The sequence below is a fragment of the Homo sapiens genome, chromosome 9 (assembly GCF_000001405.40).
Source record: "Homo sapiens chromosome 9, GRCh38.p14 Primary Assembly".
Classification (NCBI taxonomy): domain Eukaryota; kingdom Metazoa; phylum Chordata; class Mammalia; order Primates; family Hominidae; genus Homo; species Homo sapiens.
The window spans coordinates 111,031,996-111,043,423 of record NC_000009.12 but is presented as its reverse complement, the minus strand read 5'-3'; the positions used below and the strand labels follow the sequence as shown (position 1 = coordinate 111,043,423).

The 11,428-nt window shown below is 45.1% G+C and overlaps 1 protein-coding gene and 1 long non-coding RNA gene across 75 annotated transcripts in view, besides 1 other annotated feature; one reads left to right on the top strand and one right to left on the bottom strand.

The window, feature by feature from the left end:
• Positions 1–464: 464 nt before the first annotated feature.
• LOC124902248 (uncharacterized) lies at positions 465–6,496 on the bottom strand. Its single transcript, XR_007061732.1, has 2 exons — positions 5,635–6,496; positions 465–3,969 (listed from the first exon to the last, which is right to left on the bottom strand). It is a non-coding gene; the product is annotated as an uncharacterized LOC124902248 (long non-coding RNA).
• LPAR1 (lysophosphatidic acid receptor 1) overlaps positions 4,426–11,428 on the top strand; it is a 165,736-nt gene continuing 158,733 nt past the window's right edge. For 9 of the 74 annotated variants that reach the window (NM_001387485.1, NM_001351403.2, NM_001387481.1 and 6 more), the window contains exon 1: positions 4,684–4,772. The gene's annotated coding sequence lies outside the window, so the exon portion shown is untranslated. Of the gene's footprint in view, positions 4,555–4,683; positions 4,773–4,953; positions 5,258–5,336; positions 5,584–5,794; positions 5,943–6,643; positions 6,837–7,222; positions 7,311–7,406; positions 7,515–11,428 lie in introns of those variants that run through there. The other 65 variants (NM_001387516.1, NM_001387497.1, NM_001351406.2 and 62 more) reach the window with 19 other exon arrangements.
• Positions 5,185–5,524: a silencer, noted in NCBI's record as "silent region_20176". NCBI's record gives its function as "represses an Ori minimal core promoter by ATAC-STARR-seq in GM12878 lymphoblastoid cells {active_cell/tissue: GM12878}" and the evidence as "EXISTENCE:reporter gene assay evidence [ECO:0000049][PMID:35858748]".

The following is an 11,428-nucleotide window of genomic DNA, read 5'->3' as shown; positions in this document are numbered from 1 at the left end:
TTTTCTTGATGTGTTTATCATACATTTAAATGTACTTTGGCCAGGTGCCGTGGCTCATGCCTGTAATCCCAGCATTTTGGGAGGCCGAGGTGGGCAGATCACCTGAGATCGGGAGTTCGAGACCAGCCTGACCAACATGGAGAAACCCCGTTTCTACTAAAAATACAAAATTAGCTGGGCATGGTAGCGCACGCCTGTAATGCCAGCTACTCGGGAGGCTGAGGCAGGAGAATCACTTGAACCCAGGAGGTGGAGGTTGTGGTGAGCCAAGATTGTGCCATTGCAGCCTGGACAACAAGAGTGAAACTCCGTCTTAAATAAATGTACTTCAATTAAAATCATACAAAATGTAACTGTACTGTTTTGCTAAATTACATTACAGAGAGTTTGCATGAGTTTACACCTATTTTTCAAGTATCATTATTTAAAAGAAATCTTTGTCAACAAAGGAAAATGTAAAATCATGTATTATTTTAATTTTCATCTTTTATTGAATTAAAAATTAATTTATTGAAGAAAGTATTTCAGCCAAGTTTTTTAATGTTCATAGTATTCTTAGGATTTAAAAAATTCTACTGAAACTGTAATTATAATCTCCATATTCATAGCCTTCTTTTCTCTTTTTTCATTGTCAATTTTACCAGAAATTTATCTATCTTGCTATTGTTCTATAGAACTAGGTTTTTGTTTTGTTGACCCTTTCTATGATTTCTTTGTATCCAGATCCATTTTTAGCTTTATAGTTGTATATATAACACACATATATTTTTTTCCTTTTCCTTGTCTTTCTTCACTCTGTTTTAGATCTAAGCCTTTTTTATTTTGGATGAGGGAGACTACAGAGAAAGGATCTGCTAGCCTTGACCTACTTCTGATGTTACCCAGAGTATTCATGCAGATGTATGTGATAAGAAAAAGGTGAACACAGAGTTACTCTGTTTGGGGCTTTCATTGCAGCCTAGTCCTTGCAGGAGGCTGCTGCATGCAAACCCAAATTCTCTCCATTCTTGGAATCTCCTTATGCCACCTGCACTCTGAAGAGTGTTATTATTATTACTTTTTACTAAATTGGGCTGCCCCACCCACCTTTGCCGCTGGACTTTTAAAATAGAAAGGTTTCCTAAGGAGAATGCTTTTTTTTCCCCCCTAGCCAAGGGGAAAAACACTGGAGAGGCACAAATACCCCATTTCAAGGAGGAAGAAAACTATGCCTGGAGGCATCATCTGCAAAACTTTCCGGAAAAGGCTGAGTTCTCTCAGGGTATTGTTTCACCAAAATACTGTCTTTGAATCAGTCTCTACCTTAATAGACTGGAGGGAAAGTTTCCAACAGATCGTTTTGCTGATAGTTTTGATTACTCTCGAACAGAAAATTTCAAAAGCTTTTTGCCAGAGGGAAGCGAACAGAGGGAGGAAGAGAGAACTCTTCCATGAGTGTGCCATGACTGGGGAACCTTTTGAACAAATAATAGTGCCAAAGGCAGTGACAGCCAATTTTTCCACCCGAAATGCTTCTCAAATTATAGTCCTTGGATCACTAGCTTATATCAATAGTCTGACAAAGTCTATGGTGTCCTTCCAGATATTAATGTAAAACCTGAACTTGAAATATCCATCACAATGTTTCATTTTGCTGAACTTTTTCTGAGACACAGTCTTGTTCTGTTGCCCAGGCTGGAGTGCAGTGGTGCAATCTTGGCTCACTGCAACCTCTCTCTCCCAAGTTCAAGAGATTCTTATGCCTCAGCCTCCCAACAGCTGGGACTACAGGCATGCACCACCATGCCGGCTAATTTTTATATTTTTAGTAGAGACAGGGTTTTAGTAGAGACAGACATGTTGGCCAGGCTGGTCTCAAACTCTTGGCCTCAAGCGATCTGCCCACCTTGGCCTCCCAAGGTGCTGGGATTACAGGTGTGAGCCACCATGCCTGGCTTCATTTTGCTGAACATACATATATATTTAAAAATTTTAAAACTTTTTAAGAGACAGGGCCTGGCTGTTGCCCAGGCTGGAGTGCAGTGGCACAATGGCAGCTCACTGCAGCTTCGAACTCCTGGGCTCAAGCGCTCCTCTCGCCTCAGCCTCCCAAAATGCTGGGATTACAAGCATGAGCCACTGTGGCTAAGAATATTTTTTGTCATGTTTGACAGCGCCAGCTGTCTTTGGGTCTTTACCTCTGCTGAAGTCATTTGAAGAAACAAATCTAAAGAAATACTGCTTGGCAGAGGGGAGGAGAGAAAGGTTAGGACAGAAAGCATCAGGATGACTCTCCAAGAAAGGGAATGTCTGAATGACAAGAGGACTACAGACAGGAGAAAACATTCAAGAAAATTTATCAAGGTATTCTTTGTTCCTGTTGAAACCTCATCATCAATGTTAGTGTCTTCAGAAGCCCACCCAAATATATTATTTTACTTTGATAAAAGACAACTTGGAACCATATAAAAGACTGCACTGGTACCATTATTCCATTTTACAGATGAGAAAAGTAGCTCATTTGGAACATAATGAGCTAGGTTTTATGGATTAATCTAGATGCTGAACTGAATTCTGTATTGTATTTCATTTTCTCTGTCCTTTTCTACTGGATGTACATACCTACATTTAATTTTAGAGTTATCGATCTAAAGCTGGCTGCAGAAGCTGTCTCATTTAGACAGGTCCACGCTTGTCAGGAAGACAGGTCTGTCCAGGCAGACCTTTCAGTTTGTTCTATATTTCATTTCAGGCCACAGCAGACCAAATAAAGAGGAAATGAAGTGTTTTATAGCAAATAACTTACTGTTGAATACACATGTCTTGTACGGACAGGCCTCCCAATTTGATGTTAGAAGGGGCCACAGAGTAGTTAAGATAGTCAAAACAGAAGCAACTGTATTCCTTAAGAAGGTAAGAGACAAAATCAACATATTAAAAATATTCAAGTTGAGTGGTAGGTAAGAAACTCCTTTTACTTTACCTTTGATTTATGGGGAAAGGCTAAACATGGAAATAATTAATTTTAAAATGTCTTTATATTAGATATAGAAGTATTGGTGTTAAGAAATCTGATAGTAAGTACAGTGTATAGGAAGAAAGAGACGGGAAAATTAGCTAATAAGTGATTTTTTGACTTGAGTAGAGCTATGGTTAAAAATATATGGAAACCTCTTTCGAGTATATTTTTTTCTTACCAATATATACTTTTTATGATACTGAGATTTTATAGTGAACATTTGCCTATTCATCCCAATATAATATTTCTTATAGTTTGGTATCAACCCCTATGATTATTTGTGAGATAAGGGAGTGGTTTGTATTCATGGGTATACATATCTATACACATTTCTGCATGCCGTACACAAACATAAGTAGCATTGTGCATGAACATATTAGCACTGTGCATGTACTAAAATTTCAATTTTTTCACATAGTAGGTTATAAAATAAATCATATATTCGTAGGAAAGGTATAGAAAGCAAAGTTATTTAAAGTGGATTTTTAAAAAAGATTTGAATGATTTTTTTTAAAAAAAAGATTAGAACCATTGTTTTTAAAAGGAAACAGCTTTAGATAGTAAATTATTTACAGCCAGGACTCAGCCCTGAGCATCCTGTGAAAACCACACGAGCTTGGTCAAGGTTCTAAGCAGTCACCGGTGGGAGATGGTCATGGTCCCGTCACAGCATAACTCACTTGAGGCTTGAAAAGTTTCCGTCCAGCTACGGTTTGCAGTGACCTTTCTCTTCTGCAAAGCCCACGGTTACCTGGTGGCCACCACCAACATAGCCCCGCCTCGCTGTCCTGCGTTTCTCTCAATCAGATCAGTCCTGCCGAGTCCCCATGCCTTACTGCTGGTGTGCTGTGTCCTCTGTGCCATTTCAAGGCGAGGGCTCATGAAACTTTTACTCACACGCTGCTATTTTTGATATGCGGTGGCCTTAGCTGTGGAGCGAGAGGCCGATAATTGTGATCACTCCGGAAATCCTGGGAAGCCAGAAGTGGGAGATGGGTGTTGTGAGGTGGCGTGGCTAGGGAGACCCCATCGAGTGGGTGTGTTATAAGACCTGGGCGAATCCCTGTGGCTGCCACTCTCCTGAGAATGTTCCCTAGGCCTTAGTCCCGCGCCGCTCCCACCCACACCTCCAGGTGTGCAGTCCCCGCCCTTAATTACTCTCACTAAAATTGATAGTTTACACTTGCAAAGCTACACTGGGAAAGCGGAAGAGAAATTTATAATCGTGGATATGGAGAACTAGGGGAGCAGACACACTTGCTTTCGTTTACAGATCCAGTGAAGTGAAAAATCAGAACTAGAAACGTATGCACCTTCCTAGCAGCAAAGCCGCTTCTGCGTTCTTCGCAGCCTCCAGTGCAGGGCGGCGCTGGGAGAAACTTTGCGCCTTCTGGAAAGTTTAGAAAGTGAGCCACGAAAGAGAGGCCACATTTCCGGGGTTTTGCGGGCCCCGCGATGTTTTCCAGAGCTTTTCGAGTGGGAAGAGGAGAGCGACAACGTGAAAATGCCCCGTGCCGGGGCGTCCACCGGAGTCCTGCCAGCTGTCCGGCGCTGGGGTAAGCGCAGGAGGGGCGGGGGTGGGACCCGAGCTGGCGGCCACGGGTCTCCCGCTGCGGGTGTGTCGACTCGGGGGCGGGGCGGGGGAGGCTGCTGAGATAATGAATGGGAGGCTAAGGCCACCCCCCAGCCCCGGCCCTGCCACCACCGTGGGCTGTCGAGCCAATGAATGGAGGAGGGGGCGCAGAGGTCAGGGGCGCTGGGGGCGCCACACCAGGTAAGGGGTCCAGCTTGGGAGCGGGGAGGGCGGACTCTGGGGGTTCGGGTGTTGCTGACTTGTGCTACGTGGAACAAGCAGAAAAGAAGGAAGGCGGAGGAAGAGAGGAGGCTGGCGTCGGCGCTGCTCCTCTGGCCCTCCCTCTGCGCCCCCTCCTCCTGCCAGCGCGCCAAAGCCGGGCAGTAGGGGCCGACTGGCGGCTGACGCTCCCTGAGTGGCGACTCCGTCTCCAGCCCCGCTGCGGAGCGCGGGCCGGATCTGGGGCGGCCAGGGCCCGGAGCCGCGGAGCCCTCCCCGCCGCCCGGCCGAGCACGGGACCCCGGCGGGGTGGGCGCAGGGGGCGGCCCCGCTCTGGGCGACTGCCGAGGGGCGGGCGGAGGGCCGGGCTCGGCTGGCGGTGGGGCGGGGGCCGCCGGGACTGGGCGCGCGGCCTGAAGCCAGCCCGGGGGCGGCAGGAGAGGGACGCGCGGCGGCAGCGAGCGCAGGTAAGGGGGCCGGCGCGGCGTGTGGGGACGGCGCCCCCTGGGCGCGAAGCCAGAGGCCGCGGCGACTGCTCGGCCCGCCACACGGCGCGCTGGGCTCACACTGTCCCGCCGCGGACGGGCTTTGTGGTTGGGGGCGCGCGTGCGAGTGCCAGTGAGAGTGTGGGTGCGCGCTGTGGGCCGCGGCGCGGGTGGGTGGCCGTGCGTTCTTGCGAGCCGGCCTGCAGGAGGCGAGGCTCCCCTGGCCTCCCGCACCCAGCGGCGGACCGAGCCCCTGGAGGGAAGTTGCCGCAGCCGCCCGGGCCGCCGGCCCTCCTGTCCCGCGCCAGGTCAGTGCGCCCCGGGGCCCGCCCAGTGACACGTAGGTGGCCTCCGGTTACCTGGGTCGGGGTGGGTGCGCGGGAGGGCTTGCGAGGGGCCCTCGAAATTCTCCCAAAACCTCGTCCCGCTGGACTTGCACCTCCGAGGGGTCCCTGCGCCCCTGGGGCTCCGCACCTCTCGCTTCCCACTGACGACTCGGTTGTCCCCCACCACCGGGCTGAGGACTTTTAACTAAGTTTCTGTCCAGCCGCCTAACAAACGTGCTTAACAAGTAACAGGAGGTTGTAAGGCAAGGGAGGGACCTGGCTTTGAAAGTTGATGGTTTTGAAATCGACGGCTCCTTTGACTTGCGTAGGACTCCTTTGTGGTGAATGGATTTAAAGTTTATTCTTGTTTTTCTTTGCTGCCATTTGGTCTTTGCAATGTTAAGAGTGAAGGCATTCAGGACTTGCTGCTGCCTGCTGTCTGGGGCCTGAGGTTGTGGCTCTCCGCTTCTGCTCTCCTCTCTTCATTTTTGTTGAAATCCGTGGATTTTTTCATAAATGTGGGTGCTGGCTTGTTTCACTATGGACGCGTCGTTTCCTATGGGGTTAGATAGATATTGGTAAACATAAATATTGAAAATGTGATGATCACATATTGATGATCACAGCGAAATCCTCTATTCCTTCAGGCTCTAACAGTTTGTTTTTCACGTATTTGCATAAGTGTGTTTGCTCAGCTAAGCATAATTGGTAAGCCAGAGGTCTGTGATTCAGAGTCTGCAGTTCTGGTTAAGGGGAGACTGTACACTTGGAAAATGCGAAGTTTTTTAAGAAGTTATTCCCTTGCCGGATAGAAGAGTGGGTCCCAAGGAAAAAGGGTGTATTTTAGAGGTATGGTTATTTGAACCAAACTAAACATCATTAAAATACACAGGGAGGTAGAATGTCACCTAGTTCTTTCTGCCCTTGATTTCCATATCCCAGTAGGAGCGAGTATAATTGCCCCAAATGCAAAATTATGAATAATAATCAGCATTGTAAGTATATTAAGGTTGCATTTTTTTCTTGATACTTGTCTGATTTGAGGATAAAAACACCAAGTGGCAAGAGAAGGAGGTAGCTTGAGGCAGGAAGGCACGGGCGAGGAGCGAGGAGGGAAGGCTGGGTTGTCATCATCCGAGCCCGCAAGGTACACCACGTCCCCTAGCGGCGCGACCTCAGCCAGTCGGGTCAGCTCAGATCCTGGTCTCCGTCTCCCCATCCGGAAAATGGAAGGGGTTGGTGATCGTTGCTGTTCCTTCCAGCTTCCCAAATAGCGAGAAACCGGTGGGAGGTTATCTTATTGTGTTAGAGCAGTAGGAAAAGGTAGGAGGGGGAAGTGAGAGGTCCAGAGGGCCAGGAAGATGGAAGAAAACAAGCAACAGAGGATGCTTGGAGGAGAAAAATTCTTGAGCTGGGAGCTCATTTCCTCTTTTTTTTTTTTTTTTCCTTTCCTCAAGGGACTCAATAATACTTCCCCCACCTCAGATCAATCTCTTGTTACCTTTATTATTTAAAGCTTGTGAGTTTGCTTAGCTAATGCACTAGGGTGAGGTCAAGGTGATCCTTGCAGTCTGACTTCTACTAGGCATCACTTGACTCATTTGCATCATTGTCTCTCAAGGGAACAGCTCCTGCCCAGGTCTGTGGGCACTCAGCATGGATTTCAGTCTCCCTGTGAGTGATGGGAAAGAACTAACAGAGGTAAGAATGTAAGTGGCAGCCCTTTCGAAACTTCTATTTTTGTTCAAACCTAATATTTTCCAAAAAGTGATTTGATTTTTTTGTTGTTTCAAATTATACCGTAGGCTGCAAGGTTTTACTGAATCTATTCCATTAGTGACCTACTGGAACGTTCAAAGAATAAAAATCTCACTTGCTCAGTGTTTTTGATACACAGTGACATTCAGTCTGAAGTAAGTGATATTTAGGGCCAAGAATCATTTCAAATGCTTAGTATGGAAAGTTGCAATCTGGGCAGAATACACTGTATCATTTTCACTGGGAAGCTCCAAGTATTCAGCAGATAACAGAACTTTCAGAATTTAGTTTGAGGTCAAGATTTTAATGTCTGTGTTTGATGTGTGGCCTGTCTTCCTTTTCTTTGATGTTTTGGTATCAATATGCCTACACCCTTGAGGAACATTATTTATTGTAAAAGCTGAACTGTGATGTAATAAAAACTTAAACATAAGCTCTTGGTTTAAAGTCCAATAGTCTTCTCTGGCCTTAAGTCAGCATCATACTACTGTTTGGTTTCTTATTTTTACATATCATGTTACCCTCTTATTTAAATATCCCGGGCCAGGTGTGGTGGCTTATGCCTGTAATCTCAACACTTTGGGAGGCTGAGGCAGGACGATCGCTTGAAGCCAGGAGTTTGAGACCAACCTGGGCAACATAGTGAGACTCTGTCTCTATAAAAAAAATAGAAACATTAGCTGGGTATGGTGGCATGTGCGTGTAGTCTCAGCTACTTGGGAGGCGGAGGAGGGAGGATGGCTTCAGCCCAGGATTCAAGGCTGCAGTGAGCTGTGATTGTGCCATTGCACTACAGCCTGGGTGACAGAGAGACTCTGTCTCTTAAAAAAAAAAATCTTAGGGAAAACTATTATGGATGTCTTAGAAAGTTGAGAGAAAAGGAGGTAATTCTATTTCAGCAAACAATTATTGAATTCCTTCCATGTGGTAGATGCAAGGATGGTGAAAAGGAAGCTCCAGAAAGAACTGCAACACAGGGGGGAAAGATGCAGTGAGCCTCACGGTTCATACCGAATATGTATATGCAGTGTTGTGTAACTGGGTGGTAGCTGTAGAGTCCAAGAACTTTGGCATGCCAGGGAATGGAGAATTACGTTTTGATTCAGGGGACGAATTTATAAATGTGGCTTGAAGAATAACATATCTTTTAAAAGATGAATGGTGGGGGAATGAAGACAAAGTGAGAGTGTGGGGTGATGAAGGCTGGAAAGTTACGAAGGGACAAATTGTGGGGGACCTCTGATGTTATTTTAAGGAGTTATGCTACATGGGGATAGGGAGGCAAGGAGGAAGTATTACATAACCTCAAGATGTGGAAAGACACTGAGTAACACATATTGGGGCAGAGTGAGGGGTGCGATGATGGATGGAGGACTGGGCTTTTATTCCATTACAATCCGTGTAACTTATGGCTGCTACGTTTTAAGACACTATTGCCTGTTTACTCAAATTATATAAAGGTTGTAGAATAAACTAATAAGTAGTTTCTTCCTCCCTACTCTCCGCAAATTGATAGTGCTTTATACTTTTGAGAAATTTAATTTAGTAAAAATTAATGATGCTATTGTGTTATAGCTGGACCTTGTGGAGCCTTTTGAACATGTGGGGTTGAAGTCATTCTGCAGGCACAGAGCTGTCCAAGAAAACATTTTTTTTCCCCTCTCTTTTTTGTTTAGGGAAGGGCTTGCTGGTTAATGCTAATTTAAACATGACTCTTCTGGCAGCTGGCATTCTTGACCCTGTTTATGTTATACATGGTATTTAACCACAGTGATTGGGTATTTGCAGCACAGAAGAAAAAGAATTATTATTAGTTTGAAACCGGCATTAATGCCTCTGTAAATGATAGGGCAAGGCAGTAGATGGAAGGAGAGAGGGAAGCCAAGTAGCACACTCGGTACTGCAGTGAGAGATGACATAACCATGAGAATTCTTTAAGTTTAACTTCCAGTAGAAGTAACTTGCTTTCTATATATTTTAAATCCCTAGAGCTAAAGCATTTAACTCATTATCTTCACTCTGTGGGATCCATTTGGGAGAGGTATTCAGGAGCTTTATAGGTTCACACTTGCTCCCCAGTACCTCTGTGTCACAGGAGGATATACACTGGTTTTCAGTTGCATGTCAGAGGTGGAACTGACTTGGATGTCTTTGAATTGCTGTTGAATCTGGAGATGCTAGGGTACCCAGGAGACAGACAGGAAAAAGAAGAGGCTGGGCACGGCGGCTCATGCCTGTAATCCCAGCACTTTGGGAGGCTGAGGCGGGTGGATCACCTGAGGTCAAGAGTTTGAGACCAGCCTGGCTAACATGGTGAAACCCTGTCTCTACTAAAAATACAAAAAATTAGCCAGGTGTGATGCTGGGCGCCTGTAATCCCAGCTACTCAGGAGGCTGAGGCAGAAGAATCACTTGAACCCAGGAGGGAGAGGTTGCAGTGAGCCAAGATTGTGCCATTGCACTCCAGCCTGGGCAGACAGAGTGAGACTCCATCTCAAAAAACTTAAGAAAAAGAAAAAGAAAAAGAAGGTGGCTGAATTTCTTTCAATTACCTTGTGAATTCAATTTAATGAATGATCTTCCCAGCAGTTTGTTTTATCTTCTGCAAGGGAACTTATGTTTGGCATGTTTAATAAATTAAGTTAATTAAGTTGGAGAAGCCCAAGGTTAGTATACTTTATTTTAGGATACATTTTTGGTAGGAGAGGAGGAGGGGTGGCATGGTGGTGGTGATGATTTTATTTAAACTCTTTGGCATTTTTTAGCAGGTTAGTATGATTTCAAAGTAGTGTTGTTGTTGTATTATCAACTTGTGGGGCTGGGCCAAAGAATATTGTCTTAATACTTGCATGTCCCTGTCATCTAATCAGTGCTATAGAAACTTTAACCCTGAAGTCCATGTAAAATTGTAATTATTTTTTTCCAGAAATGAAAGAGAACTATTTTACTACATTCATGGATTTAGGTTATAATTTATTTTATTTTTGTGATACTGTTTTAAAAAAGTGATATAATGACAGGGCAGACCCTTAACTTTAGTCCAGTGCTAAAACAAACGTGCAATAAGCCTGCATGAGGCAGGGCAAGCTGTGTTTGTTGTATTATGAAAATAAAGGAAAATGTTTTCAAAACCAGCATTTTTCTCTAAAAGAAAAAATTTTGACTAATAATACCTGGCCATGGGTGGGATTTCCAGCTGTTGGTTGAAGGAAATTTTGTTCATTATGGCCATTATGTGTGCTATGTCTCTTAGAGTTTAGGATTTGCTATGCTGAGATTGCTACTGTGAACCATTCCTGTTATAGCAAGTTTCCCTATATTCATTAACTTATGTGTCTAAACAATGCTCTAGATTAGACTTTATATCGATCTGTTCTACTAAATTTTCTTCCCCTATGCCTAGGTGGTTCTCTTTGACCAACCCTTAACTGCCCTGATTCTGAAATTCTGCTCTAATTGAAGGATATTCCTGGGTCTTTGGAGGGAGAAATGGTTCAGGGGCAGAGGAAACTTTTTTTCCCCCCATCTCAGGAGCACTTAACTGACTGCCTGCTATATACCAGGCTTTGTGCTAGTTTTACTAGGGGTGAGTGTGAATAAGGCAGGATTCCCACCCTCCAGGAGGAGCTTACACACGATTAACAGATAATTACAATTCAGTGTAACAAGTGTTATGAGAGAGAAGACTTTGCGGGAGCACCAAGCGGGGGCACTTGACCCTCAGCGGTGAGGTGGTGGAGGTCAGGGAATGCTCCTGGAAGGTTAGGATCTGGAAGGATCCTGGGAGATAAACCAAGCCTAGAAGAGGTAAAAAAGGGATCAAGAGGCTTTCTATCTCCAGTTTCGCTACTCCTGGGTAGGTCAAAGTGCCTCTCTTTTTACATCTGGAAAATAAGAATAAGAACTGATATCTGGTTGGTAATTCTAGTTTTCATTTACTATGTGTTCCTTAATCCTTTATATTACTCTTTCTTCCATATTCAGTAGGCATTTGTACCCACCCTGTACTGGGAAGATAGCACTGCAGGAAACAAGATGTGGACAGACCCCTTCTCTCATGGAGCTTGCC